At 41.1% G+C, this 14,468-nt stretch overlaps 1 protein-coding gene across 30 annotated transcripts in view; it reads right to left on the bottom strand.

The window, feature by feature from the left end:
- DIP2A (disco interacting protein 2 homolog A) overlaps positions 1 to 14,468 on the bottom strand; it is a 124,981-nt gene that overhangs the window by 86,711 nt on the left and 23,802 nt on the right. For 19 of the 30 annotated variants that reach the window (XR_007067786.1, NM_001353943.2, NM_001353942.2 and 16 more), the window contains exons 2-4: positions 12,333 to 12,404; positions 6,442 to 6,561; positions 54 to 173 (exon numbers count right to left, since the gene is read on the bottom strand). Coding sequence is in view for 27 of the 30 variants with exons in the window: in NM_001353943.2 (NP_001340872.1) it covers positions 54 to 173; positions 6,442 to 6,561; positions 12,333 to 12,404 (312 nt within the window). In the remaining 3 variants the exon portion in view is untranslated. Of the gene's footprint in view, positions 1 to 53; positions 174 to 2,927; positions 3,033 to 6,441; positions 6,562 to 12,332; positions 12,405 to 14,468 lie in introns of all 30 variants that reach the window. The other 11 variants (XR_007067785.1, XR_007067784.1, XM_047440707.1 and 8 more) reach the window with 1 other exon arrangement.

The following is a 14,468-nucleotide window of genomic DNA, read 5'->3' as shown; positions in this document are numbered from 1 at the left end:
CAGGCCTGTGAAACACTCAAAAAAAAGCCACACTTGACATTGTTTATCAATACCTGGAGGGGTGTAGGTTTCCACAGACGAATGCACAAGGACAGAACGTCTCTTCGAAGGCATAGGCATCTTCCTCTCTTTGTATTTGGCCAAAGCTGCTTGCACGGCTTCAGTGTGGACATCTACACAGGAAGGACAGCAGTAAAAATACTTTTTACAAGACTGTTTATAAAGTAACAAATTAAGTTTCATGTTTTTGTTTGTTTTCAGTGGGGGTAAAAGGAATAGAAGCTCTCTCTGTCTATCCTCACATGTTGGTCCTAGATTTCTTTAAATATTTCTTTGTTTGTAGATCTAACTTTGGAATCTTGTAAATATTTCCTTAGTTATAAATCAAAACTGAATAAAAGAGAAATCCCCAAAATTGAAAATAAAGTGAAACAAATGAGCCTAAATGTGTATCTAGTTGTTGGTTTAAACCATGCTTGTTCAACCCGTGGCCCATGGGCCTCATATGGCTCAGGAGGGCTTTGAATGCAGCCTAATACAAATTCGTAAAATTTCTTAAAACATTATGAGATTTTTTTGCAATTTTTTTTAGCTTATCAGCTATCGTTAGTGTTAGTGTATTTTATGTGTGGCCCAGGATAATTATTCTTCTTCCAACGTGGCCCAAGGTAGCCAAAAGATTGGACACCCCTGGTTTAAACTATTGCAGCTGACTTTAAAACACTGAAGTTAGACTGGTCAACCTCTACTTCCAGAAATATCTAATAAGGACAAAAATAACTGAACAAAAACTTTTAAACTCTCTCATATTGTTGATAGCAGTGAAGGCATTGTCATATAGATTCTTCGTGAGTCCTGTGGGATATGGCAAATGAAAAGCACTTAATAGTCTGATTCTACCATAGCTAGAGCTTGGACACTCATGAGGGAGAGGAGATACAAATGTAGATGAAAGAGGTAGGCTGGACACAGTGGCTCATGCCTGTAATCCCAGCGCTCTAGGAGGCTGAGGCAGGAGGATCGTTTGAGGCCAGGACCAGCCTGTGCACCACAGCAAGACCACATTTCTGAAAAAAAAATTTTTTTTTTTGAGATGGAGTCTCGATCTGTCGCCAGGCTAGAATGCAATGGCGTGATCTCAGCTCACTGCAATCTCCGCCTCCCGGGTTCAGACAATTCTCCTGCCTCAGCCTCCCGAGGAGCTGGGATTACAGGCACCCCCCACCACGCCCGGCTAATTTTTATATTTTTAGTACAGATGGGGTTTCACTATGTTGGCCAAGCTGGTCTTGAACTCCTGACATGGTGATCCGCCCGCCTTGGCCTCTGTAAGTGCTGGGATTATAGGTGTAAGCCACCGCACCTGGCCCAATTTTTTTTGTTTAATTAGGCAGGTGCAGTGGCATGCGCCTGTGGTCCCAGCTACTCAGGAAGCTGAAGCTGGAGGATCACTTGAGCCCAGGAGTTCCAAGGTGCAGTAAGCTATGCCTGTACCACTGCCTCCAGCCTGGGTGACAGAGTGAGAACCCAAGAAAGAAAAAGAGAAAAAGAAGGAAAGAAAGGGAAGGAAGGAAGAAAAGAAAGAGAGAGAGAGGATGGGCACAGTGGCTCATGCCTGTAATCCCAGCACTTTGGGAGGCCGAGGTGAGCGGATCCCCTGAGGTCGGGAGTTCCAGACCAGCCTGGTCAACATGGAGAAACCCTGTCTCTACTAAAAACACAAAATTAGCCGGGCATGGTGGTGCATGCCTGTAATCCCAGCTACTTGAGAGGCTGAGGCAGGAAAATCGTTTGAACCCGGGAGGCAGAGATTGTGGTGAGCCGAGATCACGCCATTGCACTCCAGCCTGGGAAAGAAGAGTGAAACTCCATCTCAAAAACAGAGAGAGAGAGAGAGAGAGAGAGAGAGAGAGAGAAAGAAGAGAAGAGAAGAGAAGAGAAGAGAAGAGAAGAGAAGAGAAGAGAAGAGAAGAGAAGAGAAAAAGCGAAAGAGAAAGAGGGAGGGATGGAGGGAAGGGAGGGAGGGAGAGAGAGAGATGAAGTACAGACCCTGCAGTTCTGAATCTGAATAGATTATGTCACTACAAACAAATGTGGTATCCTGTCTTTTAAAAGTCTGTCTTACCTCTGTACAGTGAAAATGTCTACAAACAACAATCAGCCCAATAGCAATCAGCATCCTAGTGCCCAGACTGTGGTCTTGAAACACCATCCTCACTTAAAAAAAACCCTTAGAAATGGCAGATTCTGGAGCAGGGGAGAAATGCCCAGGATGAACCTAGAACTTCTTATCCTAACAGCCAACCAGGAAATGGTCAAACAACTCGAGCCAATTTGAAGAGATTCCCAATGGCGAAGAATGGGACAATCTGAATATCGGTAAGAATAAATACTAAAATGGACTGAAACATCAAATATGATACTGACAGAAGAAAAGAAGAAAAAGGAAAAGAGGAAACGCAATCAATTGGTTGCCATTGGAGGAGGCCAGTGACTCAACCTATTGTTCTGAAAACTAGTAAATAAATGGAAAGAATTAAATATTCATCTTGACTTTCTTTCCTGTACCAAGTTGTAAATAACAGAAGTTTCTCTTTACGGAAATATTCTGGCCTTTGAGTGAAGAAGGAATGTCAGAATCTAAATTTCACCATTTTGCAGCCCAAAGGAAATCAATCTAAGAACTGAGAAAAATCACTGGTTTTCAAGCACCACAGTGAACAGCCAAGAGTCAGGCCCAACAGGCCTCTTGGTGGAGGAACACAGGGCCACCCATGACAGTCTTGTAAACAGCTGAACGTTGTAACCTGACTTTCATCAAACCTAGTGACCTAAAAAGCATGTCAGAGACACCAAGAGGAACCATCAGACAAACACAGCTCAGCTTCTCCTACAAACTAAGGTTCATAGAGGCTGAAAACACTTACCAACCAACTGCAATGTGTAGCTCTTATTTGAATCCTGGGTCCAAATAAACTTGTTCCTTAGAAGCCATACGAGCAAAAGCCATATGAACATTGGCTGAATATTTGCTATTAAGGAAGTATTTATTGTTAATTACTTTGTGAAAATGGCATTATCTTTTAGAAATACAATCTTTTCAGATACAGAAACCAAGACTATTACGACATCAAAATGACAGAGATCGAGAATATTATGACATCTAAATGAAATAACATATCCGAGATTTGCTATGAAACCATATGGGAAGGGAGGAAGCAGGTAGAGTATAGATTAATCCAAGGCAGGGCATGGATGGCCCAGAATTTCTGGAGCTCGACTATGGGTCCAGGGGAGCTATAATACAATGATGGCCAGTTTTGTAGACGCTTCAATTTTCCCCAACAAATGTCTGAAAACATTTAAAAATCTCACATTTAAATGGCTTGTAGGGCCAGGTTAAACCTTTTCCTACTCAGGAAAGGTGAAGAATTCACACCTAGACATATGATAAAGGAAATTCATGGATATCAAAGACACAGAACAATTCTAAAAGCTTCCAGAGAAAAAGGTAAATCACCTTGAAAGATCAAGAAACAGACTGACAATACTCAGTAGTAACACCAGGCACAAAAAAGCAATAGTTTTGAAGACAAAAAGTGTTAAACCTAGAATTTTATATCCAGCCAAATTATCATTTAAATATGAATATTTAATAAAAATATTATCAGACATACAAGGTTCGAAAAGCATTTCCACACAAGGACTTAACTGAAAACACTCATGGAAAAAGGCACTCACGAAAAGAGAGCAAGAAACAAACTGAGACCCTTGTGATGGATTTGGAAGTTACTGTGATTCCCCTAAACATTATTGCTGTCTTAGAAAAAAAGGAAAATAAGTATAGATTAAAAACAACCTAGAACTAAAAATATAGATAATATCAACCTGATAGGGTATATCAACAGATCCAAAAATACTCAACAAACCCCAAGCACAAGAAACAAAACCAGCCCACGTGCATCATAATCAAATCACTCAACACCAGCATCTTAGTCTGCTCAGTTGCCATAACAAAACAGCATAAACTAAGTGGCTTAAACAACACAAATTTTTCTTACTGGAGACTGTATGTCCAAGATCAAGGTGCCTCATGGTTGGTGTCCGGTGAGGGCTCTCTTCCTGGCTTACAGACATCTGCCTTCTAACCATTGTACTCATAGGTTGATGGGGCAGGGCGGGGGCCAGCAAGCTCTAGTGCCTCTTTTTTTTTTCTTCCTTTTTTTTTTGAGACAGAGTCTCACTCAGGCTGGAGTGCAGTGGGGCAATATTGGCTCACTGCAACCTCCACCTACCGGTTCAAGCGATTCTCATGCCTCAGTCTCCAGAATACCTAGGACTATGGGCATGTGTCATCACACCTGACTAATTTTTGTATTTTTAGTAGAGATGGGGTTTTGCCATGTTGGCCAGGCTGGTCTCCGCCTGCTTCAGCCTCCCAAAGTGCTGGGATTACAGGCGTGAACAACCACGCCTGGCCAATGCCTCTTCTTATAAGGGCACCGATCCCACCGTGAGGGCCCCACCCTCATGATCTCATCTAAACCTAATTACCTCCCAAAGGACCAAACTCCAAATAGCATCCCACCGGGGTTAGGGCTTCAATATAGGAATTTCAGAGAGGATATAATCGAGCCCACAGAACAGTGATAAAGAGAAAAATCTTAAAGGTGCAAGAAGGAAAAAAGACACATTAGATACAACAGAACACAGATAAGAAACAAAGTTGAAGGACTAACACTACTGATTTTAACACTTATTATTAAGGTATGATCATCAAGAGAACACTGTTTTGCCATAAAGACAGACGAATAGATCAATAGAACAGAACAGAGAGTCCAGAAATAGATGCGCGCATTTATGTGCAACTGCTTTTAGAAAAAAGTGCAAAGGGAATTCTCTGGAGAAAGCATAGGCTTAAGGAATGGCCCAGGAACAGCTGACTACCTCCATGCAAAAAAGTAAACTTTTGATTCATACCTTGTACTTACACTAAAATTAACTAAAAAAAAAGATCACAAACTTAAGGGCACTAAAATGGCACTAAAAAACCTAAAACTACAAAACTTGTACAAGAAAACACAAGAGAGAATCTTTGTAATCTTGGGTTAGGCAAAGATATCTTAAACACAAGAACAAAAGCACTATCAATTTAAAAAAATGATAACTTAGACTTCATCAGGATTAAAAACTTCTGCTCTTCAAAAGATACTTTAAAGAAACACAAAGACAAATCACAGCCTGAGAGAAAATATTGGCAAATCATATTTATGATAAAAGACCTGTATTCAAAAGATAAAGAATACACCTAGTATAAACTTCACAAGGGCAGAAACCAGTTTATTAACATCACTTCCATGAGCAGGGAACAGGGTTGGGGAGAAGAGCTGGGACATGTAGAAAATAAGGAGCGGCAGAAAGGAGGAGACCTTTTCTAGGACCACTCTCATGGAAAGTACACATGTGTGCGTGCATCTGCATCCAGGCATGAGGACAACAGTGCTCAGTGAAATGCTGAGGGCGGCCATCTCAGGATTCAGGGGTATCAGGTGATTTTTAACTTTGTCCTTAAATTTGGTATAATATTTTTTATATATTTAACACTAAGCATATATTATTTATACAATCAGAGAAGAAGCTGTTTGCCACATGATAAAGTTTTTTATAAATGTGTATCAAATTGGTAAGACATTATCTGTTCGAATATTTCTTAGACTATTTCTTTACACTCCCTGTTGAAAAAACATTTAAAATCTTAATCTTTGTTTTCAGTATTCTTAAAACAACCATTATCCCTATTAAAATTTTTTCTGAAAAAGGCCTGTCAAAAGAGCTTAAATGTGAAGAAAATATACAACCACACAGTGGTGAAAATATTAAATAGATAACGTGCTCAAGTTATTAATATATAAACTATAATAGAAAATGTGAATTTTTTTCAATGGCCATTCTATTGATTCAAGTAAAACATCAGAGACAAATTTAAATATTCATAAAAGCACTGCCAAACAGAGTGGCAGAAATCTAATTGGAAGGAAATCTCCAAAATTAGAAAAAGAAATACTAAAACACCTGCACCTAGCAGTAAAGCTGCTCCATAAAGCACAAAAATTATTAGTATCAACTTCAAAGTAAAAAGTGTACAAAAGTTTTAAAGAAATTATTCTAGTAAGAGTGAGAAGAAGACTTCTCTAGAGAGTTTTGTAGGCATCCCCTAAGAAAGTGCCACTAAAGCTACACCATACATTAAAACAGACTGTGGTTACGTGAAGGTTAAATGTTTTTCTTGAAAAAAATATGATGATGTACATTACTGCTTATGTGAAAATAATTTCTTTGGCAGATATTGTGGCAAAGGAAAAATAACTGGAAGACTTCATGGCAAGAGTCCAAGGGCTCCAGGCCCGTCCACCTTCCCCACTGCCTAGGCTGTGACCCTACCTGACCGGAAGCGCTCATCCCTCGAGGCGGTGGGCCGAGACTTCTGCTGCTTGGGTGCAGCGGCCGTGGTTTGTGAGGGCCCAGGAATTCTATTCTCTGCTTGCAGAGATGGGTCTATTCCTGAAACACAATTTTATGGGAATACCTTATGTGAACAATTTGCTTTTCCAATTATGAAAAAGTCCATTGAAAACAGCTTACATTTCTCATCTGTTGCATACCCTCTATCAAAGAGCCTTTAATCTGGAAGTCAGTGATAGACGCATAAATGCTGTGGGTTAAGGGCAACATCCACTTCCGTGCTCTCCTCTCCCCACATCACCCAGCCCTGCCTCTCATTCACCATCCGCATGAAGGGTGATGATCAAACAGCTGGCCCTGTACCCTTGGCAGCACAGTACATGGCAGCTCACATCAGGGGTGGGAGCCGTGGTAGAAAGCCCTCCCAAAGCCCACCTCTGAATTACGTTTCCAAGTCTGAAATGGTCCGTGCTGTTCGTCCCCAGCATTGTTCTACAGTGTCGGTAAACCCTGAGTGAGAAACAGCTCACCAGACCACCACTGGGGTCCACCAGTAGCCCTCTGATACAAACAGGAAAAAAGTGAAAAGTCAGAGAAAACAAGAGCGAGAGGGGCATTAGAAAGATGGCGTCAGGGCCCAAAGTGCTGAGAGGCTGGGACCTGCTCAGGCCGGGCCAGCTGCCCTCGCCGCACCACCCACTTGCTCCGCCTCCAAATCAGGGCAGATCAAGGTCACGCTGCTGCTCTCCACACTCCCTCACCAGGACCTCCACTCTCTGGGCAGTGGTCCCCTGGTCACAGATGCCCTCAAGACACATTACGGTGAGCGAAGGAATGGGGAACAGTTGTTCAAGTCACTGAACAAAATCCCTGGTATCATTTGAAGCCAATTTGCTGACATTTGCAGACAGCACAAAGCAAAACCTGCAGCTGTGCTTCAACAAAAATATGCATTTAGCTTTAGCCTTTGTTTCAAAATGTTTCATAAAATTGGCCAGCAGGAATTGCAGTCCCGCTGGCTCCTCCAGCCCTTACCACTCCCTGAAGAGGCAGAGTCCACGCTGCCTCAAACCTGGGCAGGTCAGTGACTGCCCCAACAAGCGCAGTGTGGCAGAAGTGATGCTGTGTGACTTCCAAGGCTAGTCGTGAAAGGCGACACGGCTCTACCTGGCTCTGTGCAACACCACACACCAAGTCTAGAGTGTTAAGCCCCCCAGTGGAGGGGCCACATGAGGACAGAGGGAGACACAGGCAGGGGTGGGGAGCCAGGTGCTCGGCAGCAGGAGTCTCCCCACCCCAACAGCCACAGCTGTGACTGAGGAGCCCTCACAGGATGTTGGCCCAGGACTTGAGCACCCAGCTCTGGCTCTGTGGACAGGGACAAGGTAACATTTGAGCTGGGCCTACACTGCACATTTATGAGCAGAACAGATGCTGCTGATGTTGTTCAAGTACTGTGTACATTTTGGGGTGGTCAGTTATACAGCACTGGAGAATGGGAACACTCTCTACAGAAATCAGTATTAGCCCTTCAAAATGTGAGCATACACATGTACATATACATCCACACACACATCCACACACACACCCACACACACACGTGTGTTTGTGTGTGTCTGTGTGTGTATATATATGTACAAAATACATAATGAGCAGAATCCCTACTGGCTTTTGGCTTTTTGTGACTGGATAAAACAACTTTAAAGTTCACAACGGACAATACAGAGTCTTACACCTTATGGATGATAAACAAGCATGCTGTAAAGTGACATATACACAGACGGACTTCCTTACACTTGTATTCCAAAATATGCATCCTTTTATTCTTTGAGATAGATTCATTTATTCAACAAAGATAGATACAAAACCCAATGTGAAATTATTGGATGAAGGAGTAGATATATTTTTAACTTAACAGATATGAAGAGATAACTTTCCAAAAAGGTTACAGTAATTCACACTCCTACAAGCAATGTATGAAAAGTGCCATTTCTCCACTCTCTGTCAGCACTAGATGTTATAAAAAGTTCTAGAATTTTGCCAATGTGATAAGAGAAAAATGGTGCCCTTTAATTTGCATTTCCATATCTACCACTGAGGTTGAACATAATTTAATATTTATTGCCCATCCACATTTCCTCTCCTTTGGATTTCTGCTACTTTACCCAACTAAAGACCCTCACTAAAAGACCAGGAAGCCTCACTCCTTGTCTGCTGTGGACACCCTGAACTGTGTACACATACAGAGCTGTGGCCTGGCGAGTAGCAGCTCAGTCATTCTGAAATGTTCTCATTTCTAGGGAGCCTATCGCACCTGTCCATCTTTTCTGTTCTAGCTCCCAGGTCTCCTATCTTGCCTATGAAGACAATTCCTACTCAAAGGGGTGTTCAAATAGTCTCCTGAATTGTATGTTTTTATAATTAAAAACATATTTAGAACTTTAATTATTCTGAAGTTTATGTTCACTAATGGTGGGGAGGAGGAAGAGGGTTCTTGCCTGCAGAAGGATAGTACCAGCTATTAAATTAACCCTTCCTCCTTCATATCCTCTCAAATCACTTCTGGACTTCTTTTCTTCCACTGACTGGGTCGTGTACTCTGTACACTGGCATCCTCCTGTTGTGACTATAAAGCATATACAATCAGGTTTAGTAACTCAAATGCCAGTCCTTTATCACCAGTGTTCTTTTTCAAAAATTGATGGGCTACTCTCAGAACTTTGCCTCTTCTAATGGGTCACTTCCAATCCTAGGTTTAGGAAAACCTCAGGCCTGGTATTCAGACTGGACTACATTATGTTCACACACTAACTTGAGATCTGCCAGTTTTATAGGATGTATTAAGTTTTTCCAGTTAGGAAACTGGTATGTTTCTTCATATATTAGGGTCTTGGTTATTTCTTTCAAATAGATTTTACGATCCTAACGTAGGTTCTGTCTTTCTTACCAAATGCATTAATAAGCATTTGACAGTTTGTTTTCATTATGAATAAGATTTTTTCATATTTGAAAACAGAAATATTGCTAGAGAAAAGCCGCATATTTGCCTTCTATCTTCATATCAAACCAAAATCACTTACTAATAGTTACATGAGCAGTCACATGAGTTTTTGAGGTATAAAATAATATCACCTATATTTAAAGATGATTATCTTTTGTTCTCTAATATTTATTTATTCTGCTTTGTTTTCCATCGCACTGCATCAGCTGTGACCACCCAAATAATGTGTAATAAGAATGGGCATGGCCAGCATTTCTGTTTACCCATTTGGAATGGAAATGGCTACAGTATCTGGTTGTTTAGTTTGATGATTGCTGGTGATTTTGGACAAATGGGCTTTAGAGATATTTTAATAGTTTCCTTCAATCCCAATTTTACTCTGAGTTTGTTTTTATTTTGGGTGAATAAATATCAGCATATAAAGAGCCTCGTCAATCTTCTTGTTGTTGTTGATCTGTTATAAAATATATCATACCAATATAGGCAATACAAAGCATGTATGCAGTTTAAGAATATTATTAAGAAACAATCAATGTAACCACCACATAGGTTATGAAATAAAACACTCAGTGCCTTAGGGGTCCCTGTGGCCCTCTCCAATTTAACTTCCATGAGGAAATGGTGTGCTGGCTTCTGTGAAAACCATTTCCTTCTCTTTCTGGACTCACTACACCAGCTCTCTAAATATTAACAGATCGGTTTGGCGTCTTTTTTTAAGCTTGTATTGGCTATATGCCTTTGTAATTGCTTCCTTCATCCTCACGATGTTTACAAGATTCATTCTTGCTGATGCATGTAGGTCTTTAGCTTTCCGCTGTATGAATTCTGTTGATGGGTATTTGAGTTCTTGGCAGTTTACAGATATAATGAACATTTTTGTACAAGAGAATAAGGTGCAAACAAATAGGAGTTTCTCTAGGGCAAATATGTACCTGAAGAACTGCTGCACCTCTTCAACTTTACTATGTAATACTAGCTGCCTGCATCCTACTGATTGAATCCTCTCCAACAGGACAGATGGCTGTGGTTACAATGTGCATTGCTCTGATTACTAGTGAGGTTAAACATCTTTACATTTGCTCATTGGCTATTTGGATTTCCTCTTATGAAATAACCTATTTGAATCTTCATCCATTTCTCTACTAGACTTTTCTTATCATGTTGGGAGACTTTCTGGCTATTAAGTTTAAACTAATTAAATTAAGGGAAGGTGTGGTGGCTCACACCTGTAATCCCAGCACTTTGGAAGGCTGAGGCAGAAAACTCGCTTGAGGTCAGAAGTTCAAGACCAGTCTGGGCAACATAGCGAGACCCCATCTCAATCAGTAAGCTGGGCGTGGTGGTGCACACCTGTAATCCCATGTACTCAGGAGGCTGAAGTGAGAGGACTGCTCAAACCCAGGAGTTTGAGACTGCAGTGAGCTATGATCACACCACTGTGCACCAGCCTGAGCAACAGAGTAAGACCTTGCCTCTTATGTGCAATCATCATACATGGCTGGTGTTTCATATACTGGACAATGCAGTCAGAGAACATGTCCGTTACTGCAAGAAGTTCTACTGGACAGCACTGCTCGGTACATTCTGGATACTAGTTCTTTAGTTCTTTTTTTTTTTTTTTTTTTTTGAGATGAAGTCCCACTCTGTCGCCCAGGCTGGAGTGCAGTGGCACAATCTCGGCTCACTGCAACCTCCACCTCCCAGGTTCAAGTGATTCTCCTGTCTCAGCCTCCCGAGCAGCTGGAACTACAGGTACGCACCACCATGCCCGGCGAATTTTTATATTTTTAGTAGAGACAAGGCTTCCCTATGTTGGCCAGGCTGGTCTTGAACTCCTGACCTCATGATCCCCCCACCTCAGCCTCCCAAAGTGCTGGGATTACAGGCGTGAGCCACCGCGCCTGGCCTCTGGATACTACTTCTTATTTGTGTTACAACTATCTTCTCACACTCTGTAGTTTGTCTTTGCAATCTCTTTATGATGACGTTTGAAAAAAAGTTCTTAATTTTAATGTGGTCCAATTAATCAATCCTTTCCTTTATGGTTCCTGCTTTTTGGTACCTTTAGTGACATCAAAAAATCCTTCCTATCTTGAGATGGCAACAATCTTCCTGTAAGATTTTCTAAAGGCTTTAAAGACCTTTCACATTTAGGCCTAATACATCTGGAACCGATTTTTGTCTCCAATGTCATGTGTTTCATATATGGATAAAGAACTATGCCAGCACCATGCCTGCCACACCACCATTCCCATGTGCAAAGTCCGCACACATATGCATTTGTCTGAGCTGTCCAGTCTGTCTTAGTGACAACGGCTTTAATAATAACTCTTCATATCCTGGTTGGGCCAATCCTCTCACCTCATTCTTTTTTGAAAATATTTTGGGTCTCTTGACCTTTTATACTTGGATATACATTTTAGAACTAACTCGTTAAGTTACACACACACACACACACACAAAACCTATTGAAATGATGAATGCACTGAATCTACAAATCAATCTAATGTGGGAAGAACCGACATCTTTACAATAGATGCTCTAGCCCTAGTAAGAATTGTGCCAGGTTGTTCATAATCATAAAAATAAAATAAATCCTCTTTGGGAATGAGATCTGAGATCTGTATCAAGCCAGAGCTTTAAATTATAATCTATGCCTTTGGATTTTATTATTTAATATTAGAGGCATATTTTTCAAGACCAGCCTGGGCAACACAGCGAGACCCTGTCTCAATCAATAATCAACATATACCAGTGTTTAAAGTTGGTTTAACATTGCTAACAAATGTTAAACTCTAAAAACAATTTAAAAATCACATGTTATGAAACAATATAATTGCTATGTAACACCTGAGTGTATTGACCTTACCTTGAATAAGCGGTATATAACGTGCAAGCAGCTTTGCCCTTTTCTTTTCATATCCTTTTTGAGTGATGTCACCTAAAACAACAATGGAAAAAAGAATTGCATTTCTTCTACAATTCCAAAATTTTAAAATTAAACATCAATTTATGATTGAAAAACTGGAAACACTGATGTCCTTCCATGAAGTGTCTGGACAAATAAACTATAATGGACCCATAAAATGGAATACCACTCAGCAATAAAAAAGGAACAAACTACTGATACACACAGCAATTTGGATAGATCTCACATGCATGCTGCTGAGTGAAAGAAGCCAGACTCAAAAGGCTACTGAATACTCAACTTTTATGACATTCTGGAAAAGATACAACCATAGCGTCAGATACAGCTAGTGGTTGCCAGGGGCTGGGAGTGAGGAAAAGACAAGAGAATTTTGAGGGTGGTGAAACTGTTCTACGTTGGGAGTGTAGTGGTGGTTACATGAGCATATGCGTTTGTCAAAAATCTGTACCACTGTAGAAGAGTAAGGGTGAATTTTACTGTGTGTAAATAACACTTCAAATTTTAAAAATTGTGATCACCATCCCCTGGGAGCTTGCCAAAAATGCAAACTCTAAGGCCATATCCCAAACTGACAGAATCCAAATCCGCACTTTATCAAGATCCTCCAGTAACTCCTGTGCAGGTTCAAGTTTCACAAGTATTGCAATAAGGGACCCATGGGACACAAGCCGTCCCAGGCCAAGGGGTGTCCTTGGGAAAGGAGGAAAAAGGACGGCTGTTCCAGTAAATTATCATAAGGAAAAACAGCCTGAAAACAAATTAAACCACCTAGGAATGAGGTAGGAAATGCACCATCATGAAAACACTTCTTAATGTAAGCACACTATTTGGTTTCCTACACATACCTGGAAGTTCTAACAGGGGATGTGTGATGTGAAGACTTTATTTAGACCAGAAATACATATTACAATTCTCATGATTAGCTTGTCCTCTGGGTGAACATGGTAGAGTTTTTAGTGTTTTGTAAGATCTCCCTTCTCTCAAAACAAGCAAGCAAAGCAGTAAGGCTGCTGTGAATCAGAAGACACAGGCTGATGTCATTTATTGAGTACATAATTGAGTATTTCCTTTAGATGTATTTTTTATTGTAGGATTTGTTGTGTGAACAGACTGACACCGTTGAATATCTGACATCTAAGTTAAGCCTCAGTGGAAGCCTCTGGGTAGGCATTAATATGCCATCCTACAGAAGAAGAGCCTGAGCCACGGCCTGTGGGCCAAGCAGCTGCTCTGGTCCACACCAGCCTACCACAACCTCCCCACCTACTCCACCCTGCACTGCGCCCAAGCCCTGCCCTCTGCACAGAGCCTCTGCTTTAAGAGCTCACTTGGCTCCTCCCAAGCCTCTCATGCTTATCTGCCTGTCCTTCCATTTATTTATTCCCTGTGTCCCCACTGTGTTCCATCTCTTCAGACTTTTTTTTTTTTTGCATTTAGTGTCTTTTAGACATATTTTCTTATAGCTTCTTTCTATAGTGTCTTTTAGAAACTTTTTTATAGTGTCTTTTAGAATATATTCTGCAGAATGCATGTTGCTTTGTGTCTGTGTACTTTTAATTGACCCGAATGGCATCATATTATAAATCACTATTTTCTTCCCTAAGCCTTCCATTTTTAAAACCAACCCTTCCTCAATGCAATGAGCACACCTGATTCACTGCACTGACCCGGGTACCCCTTGGAAGTACATCATCCTTGTTCACCCCCTCACTCCATCACTGCACACTCCCAGGTCCACAGCCAGCCACCACCCACACCAACATGCTCAGTGCTGCAGTGACAATCCTCATCAGGTTCAGGATATAACTGTACAATTTCACTTATTAAATTTCAACTTGTGCACAACTTTTTAAGGTTTAGAAGGCAGTAATTTTCAAATGTGCATGTGTGTAGGAGAGGCAATTAATCTGCATCACAGAGGTACGGAATATGGCTCTGGCTGAACTCCACTGCTGCAGAAGAATCTCACTTAGGATCACAGATGCCAAATCCCTAGTAATATCACCAAGTCCTTCACTCGGCAACACAATTTCTAAAAACCCATTCTCAAAAGCACTCAACTACCCCTACAGGTCA

Source organism: Homo sapiens, chromosome 21 (assembly GCF_000001405.40).
Source record: "Homo sapiens chromosome 21, GRCh38.p14 Primary Assembly".
Taxonomy (NCBI): domain Eukaryota; kingdom Metazoa; phylum Chordata; class Mammalia; order Primates; family Hominidae; genus Homo; species Homo sapiens.
This window is presented reverse-complemented; position numbering and strand designations above follow the sequence as displayed.